Source organism: Homo sapiens, chromosome 22 (assembly GCF_000001405.40).
Source record: "Homo sapiens chromosome 22, GRCh38.p14 Primary Assembly".
Taxonomy (NCBI): Eukaryota; Metazoa; Chordata; class Mammalia; order Primates; family Hominidae; genus Homo; species Homo sapiens.
The window spans coordinates 49289673-49301427 of record NC_000022.11 but is presented as its reverse complement, the minus strand read 5'-3'; the positions used below and the strand labels follow the sequence as shown (position 1 = coordinate 49301427).

The following is an 11755-nucleotide window of genomic DNA, read 5'->3' as shown; positions in this document are numbered from 1 at the left end:
TGAGCCTGGGTGGGCGTTTGGGTACCTGGCTGGCCACATCACACCTGAACTGGGGGTTCGAGGGTATCACACACAGGGCTCTGGGCCCTCCCTGCCTCAATCAGAGCTACCCCACTTCTTTCACACCCCAGGATTGTCACAGGGACTTTGAGGAGACGGTCCCAAGGTGAAGAAGGAGAAACCAGGGTTCAGTCAATGCATCCCACGGGTCAGGCGGAACTAGGGGGTACAGGCGAGCACCACAGTGGGCAAAGCAAGACCGCAGGCCTGGGCCCTCCCTCCCGGCCCACGCTGCCTGCCCTGCCCTCCCCAGCCCCCTCAGTCATCTGGGAGTCACCCCTCGGGCTGTAGGTGGGGGGACGGGACGGCCTTCTGGGGTTTCTGTGGACACGGTGGGCACCAACCATTGCCCTCTTCTGTGAGGTCACCGTCACCGTGATATTCAGGGAGGGGTTTTTCCGAATCTTTCCCTCTTCTGTGGGCTCTGCACAAGCCTTGTGTAATCGCCTCCACGTGGGCTCCTCTGGTGCAGGTTCTCACAACAAGATACAAAGAAACTCCTGTTTTGGGAAGAGGCGTCTTCCTGTGTGGGTTTATCAGTATGATGCAGTCAGGTCACTGCCCTATTGACAACGTACACACACAGTTAGCACACACACAGCACACACACAGCATACATCCACACACAGCACACATGCACACACTCAGCACACACGCACACACACAGCACATACACAGCTAACACAATGAGCACCCACATCCACACATAGAACACCTGACACACACACACACACTCACACACACACACACACACACACACACACTCATGCACACAGGGGTATTTTGTTTCTGTTTTGGTGGACGCAGGGGCTTTCCTGGAAGAAACTGTCTGCTCCATCACTTGCCCGCTGTGGTCCCCAGCCTGCTCCAGTCACAAGGCTTGGCTCCTTCCAGCCCTTCTCTCGGGGGCTGTGTGACCTCAGCAGAGCCCTCTGCCCCCTCCAGCGGCTTGGGGGTGTGCATGGCGCCCACAGACGGATGGCGTGGCCTTTGGCTTAGAGAAGCCACAAAGCGTGGTGCCCTCCTGCCGCCTCCCACATTTCCTCTTTGAGAAAATCCTGAAGGTTGGAGGAGGTGCGTGGAAAGCTGGGGTTGGCCTTCACTCCGGATGCTCTTTGCCTTGCCTGGGTAGGAATGAGACTTCATTTCATCCAGTGGTGAGCTCAGAAGCCCCGCCTTGCCCCCTCTGGGACTCTCTGATGTTGCAGTAAATGGCCACACAGCCATGTGCTTCAGATGAAAGCGCCGTGCTGGAGGGGAGTCAATGGCCCGTGGTGCTTCCCACACCCGGGGGAGCCTCCTTCAACTGACGGGCAACTCACTTCAAACACCTCTCAATCGTGGGGTGGGTCCCACAGCCAGATGACAAATCCTACTGGCATCTCATTGGACAATTAATTTGTCTCAGAAGAAACTTCTGCATCCCACTCCGCCCGGGGTCAGGGGTGTTCCAGAAGGGTCTGCCTGCCTGAAGGGCCATGAGGCCTTAGGGGCCGGGCATCCCCGCTGCACCTGCCTCCTTCCCTCCTCCGTCAGAGTTGCCCGCTTCACTCCTGTGCTGCCCTGTAAGGTGCTGCAGAAATCCCTTCTCGAAATTCCACTGTCCCTGGAGGAAGCTGGGCCTTCAGTCATTATCAGTCCACAGCTCATGTGCTGGGAAGGAACACGTGGACAATGGTAGATGGGCATGGTGTTTGCGGCAGGATGTGGGTGGTGTCTGGGGAGGGGAGGGCAGGGGAGGGAGTGCCCCAGGCCAGGATCTGGAGTTGATGGCTGTGCTGTGCTGATGCCCCACGCCCACGGCCATGGCGTCCCGATACAAACCCAAGAGAGGGGTGAGCTCCAGAGGGCACCCTATGGGGACTGGCCGGGCCGAACTCCAGAGGCCACCTCCTGGGCAGAGGGTCATGAGCGTCCTTAGCGTTTCCTTCCTTTCAGCCACGCATTTTTCTGTTGGAAATTGTGATGGAGAACCAGAGCTTGGAGCTCGGAGCAGGCTCCCGGCTCAGACAGCACCAGGCGGCCTGGCAGCCTCATTCCCTCATCTTGCTCTACACGGACCTGGGAAGTTCTAGGATGGGACCTGCTTCTCCCAAGGACGCCAACTCAAGGGTCCCCCTGAGAAGCTGTGCTGGGCACCCCGCTTGGCCCTGGTCAGGAGGAGCTCGACCCTGAACCCTGTACTTTAGATCCCTCAGGGCTGAGCTGTCCTGACTTCACCGCCCAGGCCCAGAGAGGCCTCTCTCTACCTCCTGCAGAGGCCTCGGAATGCCCTGGAGGCCTGCGTGAGGAGCTGCGGGCGGTGGAGAAGCTGCTGCGGGTGGTGGAGAAGCTGCTGCGGGCGGTGGATAAGCTGCTGCGGGTGGAGAAGCTGCTGCGGGCGGTGGAGAAGCTGCTGCGGGTGGAGAAGCTGCTGCGGGCGGTGGAGAAGCTGCTGTGGGTGGTGGAGAAGCTGCTGTGGGTGGTGGAGAAGCTGCTGCAGCGGGTTCTGCAAGGCAGCCTGGAACGGGGAGTGAGTGGTTAGGGCATCAGAAGGACTAAGACCAGCTGCAGAAATAGAACTAATGGAATTGAACGGAACCAGACCTAGACATGACACTGAGGCAGGTGAGGTGAATGTGGATTTATGGAGCTGCACTCGGTGGGCGAGCACTGCCTGAGGAGCCAGCGGAGAGCCTTCCTGCCCCAGGTGTGTCCCCGAGATGGTGAATTCTGTGACTTCGCCATCACTGTGACAGAGCCACACGGTGCCCAGGTGACCAGCAAAATATTACTTCCAGGCTTGCCTGTGGAGTGGACAGGGTGAAGCCGACACCTTCCCCGGTGAGTGGCACGAACGTGGGGGCTGGGTGGGTTCCCACTCTGTCTACCTCTCAGCTGGGCCGTCTGTCTTCTCCTGCCTGCATGTTTCTGGTGCTCAGGCCTTCAGAGTTGGACTGGAATCCACACCACTGACCCCGGCTTTCAGGCCTCTGAAGGACACCCCCAGCTCTCCCGGGTCTCCAGCTCGCGGACGGCGGAGGATAGAACTTCTCCGGCTCCCTGACTTATAAACAGCTTCCTCGTCACGTCATTCTCTGTGCGTTGCTCTTGGTTCTGTTTCTCGGGAGAACCTTGACTGCCCCCGCCGCAGCCTCCACCCGCCCACAAAACGGGCCCCATCTCTCCTCTGCTTCCAGCATTTCCTCACCGCATCTGCCTCTCTTCAAGAAAGGCTCCCAACTCCCGCCTCCTCACGGCCATCCTTCCCTCTCCCCAGACACCCTCTGACCTGGCCCCTCCCACGGCAGGCTACGCCTCTTCCTGGAGCTCCCAGTGTCTGTGTAGTCGTGTCCTTAGCCCAGAATGCCGGCCCCACGCACCCACCGTGGGGAGCCCCCCAGACTTGCACAGGGTCCCGCCTGGCTCTGCAGCCAGCTTGTTCTTCCAGGCTCTGAACTGGAATGCCTGCTGAGCCCCGTTCATCTACAGGCCGCATACAGGCGTTGCCACCACGGTGAGTGCACGGTCACTCCCCATCCACAGCCTGGCATGGGGCCGGGGCATCTCAGAGCCTGGATCCCCCAGCGGGGCCTGGACACAGCGTTCGCAGGAGGCCTTAGGGAGAATACGGACTTTTACTCTTGCGAAGTCATGTGTTGAGAAAACAGTTCACGTTGTGAAGCTAGAAGTGGCTCCCTGGAAGCCCGTCCGGGGAGCCTGGTGTCTTCGGCGTTCTGGGATTGGGTTGGTTTCTCGGCCTCTGCGGCTCCCAGGCTGCTTTGCCTTCTCTGCAGGGGGTGCCTGGGAGGCTCTGGGGGACCAGGGACGCCTCGGTCAGCTGCTCCACCCTCACGGCTTCTGCACTTGGTTCCACACCAGGCTTGAGGATTCCTGGGCAGAAAGGAGCCCAGCCTGTGAGGAGCTGCAGAGCCTCAGGCTCCCCCGCCTCGCCCTCGTCACCCTTGGGGTCTCCCATGTGGCTTTCAGGGGAGGGTGACCCCGTCAGAAGCTCACGTTGCTCCGGAAAGGCCTGGATGAGCTGGTGTTCCGCACTCACACTATTGGACGCCAAGCCCAGCAAGCAAGGATACCGCCCGTAATGAGAGTCCCCACCGATGCCAGGGCCAGGGAGGGAACTGGGCAGAGGGCACAGCCTAGTGCCTTGGAGGACCGGATTAAAGGCCTCTTTCTATAGGATCTCACTCCATCTTTAGCCCCTAACAGGGAATCTGCTGGGAGAAGCTCTCTTAGCAAAATCCCTCCTGAGTCCACGTCTCCTCTCCTAACACATAGAGCCGTGTAATTTGGAACTTCATTTATTTCAACCAATTTATGTTCCTTCTCCATCTAGTGCTGTGAAATTAACAGGAAAAAGTTACAAATTGCTGGAGGACAGAGACCTCTAACCGTGGGCGCGCTGGCTTATGAGGGTTTGATAGGCTGACGACATTAAAAATAGAAGAGACAAGGCTCTAGGTGGACCAGGAGGCTTCAAAATTTAATGAGCTTCAGGCCAGACCCAGCAGTCAGAGGAGAGGACAGGGGCTGGCTGGGACCGTGAGAGCCCGGCCGTCCGTCTGGAGCAGGCCACACCTGCTGGTCCCCAGGCCCTCTGGGCTGTCCTGCTGTCCATGACAGACCCCACCCCTCCCGTCACCCCGCGTGATGCCTGGAGCTAGGACACACTCGCCCGCGTTCATCTTAGTGCCTTATGGAGTCCCTGGCATGTGCTGGGGAGATGACATTTGTGTTTTATAATTAATCAATTAATGAAATACCTGAAAAATTCATAGAAATAAGTCAGTGGAGCTGTTAAGGAAGCACTAAAATTCCTTACAAAAGCCCCAAGAGAGCATGTTTAAGGGGACTTTGGTCTACCATGGAGACCCTGCCCTCTGGGTGCAGAAGGACCACCAGAGCCCTGGGCATGTGGCCTTCCTCTTGGGGTCTCACACAGCCTGCGCCGTGGAACTGTGGCTGCTAGGAGGGTGCCTGGGAGGACAGAGACTCCCTGCACCCTGGCTGCTGTGCTGTGCAGGGCCCATCCCAGGACGGTCCAGCCAGGATGCCTTGGTCGGCCGCTCCACCTTCAGGGCAAGCTTGTGGGGCGGCTCAGGATGGGCAGCAACGCGAAAGACCCTGCTGGCGCTGAGCTGAGATCCTGGTTGTCCTGCTGAAGTCACTTCTGCAGTTAAAGGTCTCAGGGGCTCCCCCAGCCACAGACTTGATGCCTTCCTCCTGGCCAGCAGCCAAGGTCGTCGCAGCGCAGCCCGCCTGCTCCCCCATCTCCCCTCTCCATCTTGCCTTCTTGCAGACCAGCAGCCGGAACCACTGGACGCTCCCTGTGTGTCCATGAGGCTGTGTCTTCTTGCCTCTCCTCCATCCTTGCTTCTGTCTGGAATGTCCTCATTGCCTTGCCCCTTAGCCCAGCTGGCTGGGTGCCAGGACACCTCCCGGCCTTCCCCCTGACATTCCGGGCACAGCTGCCCCATGGTGCCATCTGCGCCAGGCAGTCACTGTTCCTGTTCAGCCTTCTCCTGCCTCTGGCTTGGACTCCGGCTTGCGCCGCCCCATCAGCTCTCCTGGGTCCCTAGCTTGCCTATTGCGGATCTGGGGACTTCTCAGCCTTCATAATTTCAGGAGCCAATTCCTTCTAATAAATTGCTTATAGACCTAAATCTACATCATCTATGTTTCCTGTTGGCTCTGTTTCTCTGGAGAACATTGAGTGCTATGCAGTGTTGTGAGCTGTTGCCTGGGCATCTAGGGAGAGATGGTGGGAGGCGGGCAGGCACCTGAGTCGGATCCCATGGGAGATGCCAGCTGGAGACATGGGGAGGGGTGCGGCTCAGTGGGAATTGGAAGAGGAGCGTGCTGGGGCTTGCTGACGTCATTCAGGGAGGGAACCTGGCTGGAGGAGAATGCCCACCTGACTCCACAGCCCTAGAGCTGGGCAAGGTGGAGGCAGAGAGCCTGAGGGCTGTTCACAGAGTGCTCTTTCCCTGCCAGGCACAGCTCGAGTGAATTGCAGGTGCCCGCAGGTGAATCAGCAGACATAGCTCCGTGCTGATCTACGCCCATCAGATTGGTGAGAGCTCAGGTTCAGGGAAGCCCAGGGACCCACCGAGGGTTCCAGGGCCCCCCGGAGCTGGCTGGCACCTGGAGCGTGTTAATATTTGTCATGTAATTGGATTCACTTGCCAATGGTAGAGACCATGCTTAGAAATTTAGAATGCTGACGCTAGAGAGGCCCTTCCACCTGGCTGGCCCACCCTTGCCTTGGGGCCCCGGCTACCTGTTCTTGGATGTGTTCAGGCCTGACCCAGGGAGCTAGCCCCACTGTTCCACCCTTGCTCATATCCTGGGCTTCTTTCTGGTTCTTTGGAACCTGGACTTTAGCGTCTCTACCTGTTTCCACCCTGCAGCCGCAGTCCCAGCCCTGCTCCCTGCCTCTCGCCTCTGTCTGCACCAAGGCCTTCCCCCCATGCACTCCCAGGGTCCACAGCTCCAAGTTTCACTTTGGGGGCAAGAGGGCTTGAGCCTGCAGCTCTGCCTTCATCGAAGTCCCATGGATTGGTTCTGCTTCCTGTGTGCTTCCCCCAGCGTAGGCAAGGGTGTCCTGCCACAAAGGGAGCTGGGAACCAAGTGGACATGGAGAAGGGTGAGTGATGCTCATCCACTTGGAGTTCAGACAAAGCCAGCCCCTGTACATTGATTCAGCCATGTTTGCCAAACGACATTGACTCTTCAAGTTCTTTTCTTTGGAAAAACATCATCATGGCTGAGAACAACTCACCCTGGAGTACACTGCCCTACCTGTTCAGACCTCGTTCACAGAGGCCACTTTCCTGTCCCCAGAAGGAGCCCAACACAGGCATTCTGGGTCTTATATCTTGGGGGTTGGATCCAAGGACTTTACGGATAGGACACCACTGAGTAACCAAGCGAGGATGCTCAGGTGGTCCCATGCCATCACCCTCACACCATATTTGTATTTTTAAACTTTTATGTTAGGGTTAAAAAACATTTATGTACCATCATTAGAGTGCTACATTATTCTGTGTTTGTATGTATAGTTACTTTGACCAGTGAGATTTATGCTTTTATATGTGTTCACATTGCCATTTAGTGTATTTTTATTTCAGTTTGAAGAACTTACTTAAACACTTTGTGTAAGGCATGCTTAGTGGTGATAATCTGCTTCAGTCTTGTTTGTTTGTTTGGTCTCAGAAAGTCTTTATCTCTCCATTAAAAAAGAACTAAAAGGCAATGTTGCTGAGTATCGTTTTCTTAGTTGGCAGGGTTTTTGAATTCTTTCAATACTTTTAATATATCATCACACTTTCTCTTGGCTTTTAAAGTTTCTGCTAAGAAATTTTCTGGAGGTCTTAAGGGGGTTCTCCTAATGTGAGGAATCACTTTTCTCTTACTGCCTTTAAATTCTCTCTTTGTGACAATTTGATTGTAGTGAGTCCAGGTGTGTCTTCTTTGGTTTGATCCAATTTAGAAACTTCTGAGTTTTGTAAATCTGGATGCCCATTTTCCTCCCAAGATTTGTGAAATTTCCAGCTAGTATTATTTAAATAAATTTTTAGCTTCTTTCTTTTTCTCTTCTCCTTTTGGAACTTCATTAATGTGTGTATTGGTTTTCTTCATAAATCCCTTAGGGTTTTGTCATGCTTTTTCAATCTTTTAAAAAACCTTTTTCTCCTCTGATTGGATAATTTGAAATAACGAGTCTTTGAATGTGCAGATTCCTTCTCCTCCTCCTCCTCCTCTTCTTCTACTTCTTCCTCTTGCATGATCAAATATGCTGATGAAGCTCTCTATTGAATTTTTCATTTCATTCATTTTATTAATCTCTCCTAGTTTCAACTTGACCCTCAAGAAGATGGCCATGGTGGGCCTCACTAATTCCTCTTGAAAAAATCCAGCACAACTGTCTGGAACCCATCTCAAGAAGCTATCTGTATCCATAACCTGCCAAGGCAGAGAGGGCGATTCCCAGGGAGGTGGTGTCACCTTTGCCTGTGAAGCAGCATACAGAAGGCCCTCCTTCTGTAGAACAGGCCTGATGGGGAGGACAGGACATGGGGTGGAACCTCTTGCATTGACTCTGGATTTACCACAAACTCACGAGCCCCCAGGGGCCAGCATCTCCTTGATCCAGCTGTTTCCTCCAGGTTTGTCTCTAACCATCTGCTTGTCAGTCTGGGTTCCTCTGTGTCTAGGTGCTCTGCACTGGGCTTCTTCTGGTATGAGTTTCCTCATGAGAAGGCACGTCTCTACCACGCTGGCTTTTCTCAGCTGGCTGCTCATTCAGATATGCCTTCGAATGGGTGACCTTTGATGGTTTCTCATGCACTGTCTTGCATGCAGGGGAAGCCTCTCGTCACAGCAGGCTTTTTCCCCTGGAGTGTTTTCCCCTCTCTGTATTAGAGGAGACCACCACTCCCCAGGACTGATTTTCATCAAGTTTCATATTCAGTCTCCATGACATGATGATTAAACTGGATTTCTGCTCCTCCTGGTGCTGTAACACAGTGGATTTTCTTTCCAGGTATCCCCCATTCCAGAAGTCTGACACAGAAGCTGCCTTTGGCAATACCTCTACCAGGGAAGTGGCAGAAAAGGCCATGGTTGCTGTGATGGCCAATGCCCTGCAGAGTGGGGATAGCCATCAGCACAGCTGTTCATGTTGGTGTTATTTTATTAACACCTTATTCCACCACCTTTCTGTGTAGGAAGCTGGAACCAGTTTAATACATGAGACTGTGAGGACAAGGAGGCTGAGAGAAACAGAATTTTTTCAAGAGGAATTAATGAGGCCCACCATGGTCATCTTCTTGAGGGTCAGGTTGAAACTAGGAGGGATGAATTCTCAGTATGTGAGTCCAGAACCCAGAGCAGACCTTGCACAGCCATGGCTGAGTGAGCTCCTAGGAGCAAAAGTGGACATCAAACTCTGTCTCTGTTGTTAACTCCAGCCACCAGGTGCTGTCTAAGCTCGCAAGACAAAGTGGTCTGCGAAGGCACGGAGACTGCTCCATGGCCTATAGCCCTGGATGACTTTGTGCCCTGTTTTCTCTGCAGGAGAGGAAGTGGTACTCAAAGGTCAGAACCGAGACCAGGCGATGTTGAAATGTATGGGGATGTATCCGGGAGCTCAGGGACCATCTGCCTCTTATGTGTGCAAGCCTGGGCCACAGATACCCTAGACAGGTAAGCACCTGGGCTGTGTAATGCAGCTGCATGTACCTGAGAGTGTGGAGAAAGGGCCCGTGGATGCCATTTCTGAGCAAGACCCCGTAGGAGGCCGAATGTAACAGCAACGTCAAAGGTGGGTCCTTCCTAGCCACCCTGGGCCCAGAGGAGGTGCAGTAAGCTTGATGTCAGTGCCCAAGTGATATGTCCACATCCTAACCCCTGGAACCAGGGAAGGTGGCCTTTTTGGAAACAGGGTCTTTGCGGATGGATTAAGGTAAGAATCTTGAGATGAGATCATCCTGCATTATCCAAGTGGGCCCTAAATCCAATGACAAGTGTCCTCATTACAGACACACAGAGGAGAAGACACCAACACCAGGAAGAAGGCTGTGTGGGGATGGAGACAGAGACTGGAGCGATGCAGCCACAGGCCAGGGGATGCCTGGAGCTCCCAGAAGCTGTGGGGTGGGGGGTAGTGGGTGGGGCAGGAAGGATCCTCCCTTAGAGCCTTCAGGGAAAACAAGGCTTTATCGACAAGATTAGCCTCTGGCCCCCAGAACCATGAAAATAAATTTCAGTTGTTGTGACGCCCAGTCCGTGGTGTTTTGTTCCAGCAGCCGCAGGAAACTCACACAGGAGGGAAGGATCTTGAAAGAGAAGCGAAGATTCCGGTGGAAGCTGAGCAGCTTTGCCCTCCTCCCCTGCACAGGCCAAGTGTGCAAGTTTCAGAGGCAGGGGCGGGGGATAATCCAGGCCAAAGCATGGCAGGGGAGGTGCTGGAGTGCAAAGCACTGCTCTCTCCTGGACATGCCTGGGCAGCCCTCGTCCTCTGGTCCTGTCCCTGCACTGTGCGTTGCCCCCCACCGCCTCTGTGAGCCCAAACCAGGCAATGCCGAGGTCTCCAGTCCAGCTGTGCGGAATGAACCAACAGATTCAGAGCATGTTCGGGAGCAGACGGCTCTCACCGAAGAGAGGAGTGGGCTGTGCTCACGTGCAGTGCTTTGCTTCTGGGCTGGGTAACTCCTTCTGTTTTTGCTCCCTGTATCTCCTCATCCTTGTCCCGGGAGAAGGAAGCCAGCCAAGCCTCAAGGATTTCTGCTAAGGGTAGAGTAAGGAGGGAAAAATAAGCCTATAATGAAAATAAAAGTAAGAGTAGGGAACATCCCTGAAAAGGCAGATGGAGGAAAGGAGTCTGAGGTTCTCCCGAGCGCAGGGTCTGCCTCCTGCTCCCCGACACTGCCCCTGGCTCCGTGGTGCACTCAGGGGCCCTGGGGGTCAGGGCTGGGATTCTGGGACTTCCCAGAGATGCAGTGCCCCAGGGGGTCGGGGAGGCCAGTTAAGCTCTGAGGCAGGGAGGCACCACCAAGAAGAGGCCCTGAGCTCCTCTGCCCCAGATAATATCAGGGAGTGAATAAGGAGGAGGAAAACCAACAGCAGGATACCTGCATGTCCAAGTTCAAGCCCGATTTTAGAAATAAACAGACCTAAAATGCAAAGGAAAACAGCCTCTGCCTGGAAGCAGAATCTTCGTTATAGGGCCAGAGAAAAGCAGGTCCGTTTAATACCAACCGGTTTTGGCAGGGTCATGCAGGAGAGAGACCACCCGCCCCTCACAGTGAGAGCTGAGCCCAGCCACAGCCGCCCACCTCCCCTCTAGTGAGCACGATGTCACTGTTCCAAGGACAGCTCGCCCAGGAAGACGGAGTTCCAAATGACTTTATTCTTCATTCCAGGGACTGGCTGAAAATCCATTTATCTCAGCAATAGACTGCTAAGCGGACCCTCCTCGGAGCAAATGGCCCCATCTCAGAACAGTCGGTCGCATCTCTCAGCTGGCCTTGTCGAACAGCTGCTCATTGCTCAAAGCTTGTTTGAAAGCCTCCCCCTTGGTGTCCACAAATCCTAAATTATTATCATGCGAACTCTGACCCATTCCAGTTACCCCTCCCCACCAGACACTCACACTCTGAAAGGCGCTGCTGGGGCGGCCCCCAGCCTTTACAAACCCCCCTCCTTTGCTGAGATGTTAGGAGACTATTCCGCTGGCACCCTCTTCACTGCAGTGTGCAATCAGCTCAGCTTTGTTAGAAAAATAGGTCACTTTCTGGGCCCTTCGGGCAGCGAGCAGGCAGCAACAGTTTGATCAGAGAAACCAATTTGACTCGAAGAAAAATAGTTTGCTTGGGTGCCACCACCCAGGACGGCAAGTGTAATCCACGAGGAGGGTCATCTAGAGCTTCACACCCTTCCATGCAGCCTGACATTCAGGCTGGAGAGTGCAGCGCAGCCTCCTGCCCGTCATCCAGCATCCTGAGTGGCAGAAAGTCAGGACTGAAGGCTGCTCAGGAGTGATCTGGGCCACTACCAGACTGGGGGACCTTACTCACTTTTAATTTTTTTTTCAAAGAAATTTTTAATTTTAAAATAGTTTGGGTTTACAGAAAAGTAAAGAAAGTACAGAGAGTTCCTATACACAGTCTCCACCATCACCGTCTTCTACGACTGT

General features: G+C 54.4%; 3 annotated features.

The window, feature by feature from the left end:
* Positions 5970-6139: an enhancer, noted in NCBI's record as "experimental_63692 CRE fragment used in MPRA reporter constructs". NCBI's record gives its function as "activates a minimal promoter by MPRAs in K562 erythroleukemia cells, with activity observed for the non-introgressed 22:49691300 variant allele {active_cell/tissue: K562}" and the evidence as "EXISTENCE:reporter gene assay evidence [ECO:0000049][PMID:34662402]".
* Positions 9694-10279: an enhancer, noted in NCBI's record as "H3K27ac-H3K4me1 hESC enhancer chr22:49687075-49687660 (GRCh37/hg19 assembly coordinates)". NCBI's record gives its function as "activates a minimal SCP1, AML or CMV promoter by ChIP-STARR-seq in primed H9 embryonic stem cells {active_cell/tissue: H9 hESC(primed)}" and the evidence as "EXISTENCE:reporter gene assay evidence [ECO:0000049][PMID:30033119]".
* Positions 10280-10866: an enhancer, noted in NCBI's record as "H3K27ac-H3K4me1 hESC enhancer chr22:49686488-49687074 (GRCh37/hg19 assembly coordinates)". NCBI's record gives its function as "activates a minimal SCP1, AML or CMV promoter by ChIP-STARR-seq in primed H9 embryonic stem cells {active_cell/tissue: H9 hESC(primed)}" and the evidence as "EXISTENCE:reporter gene assay evidence [ECO:0000049][PMID:30033119]".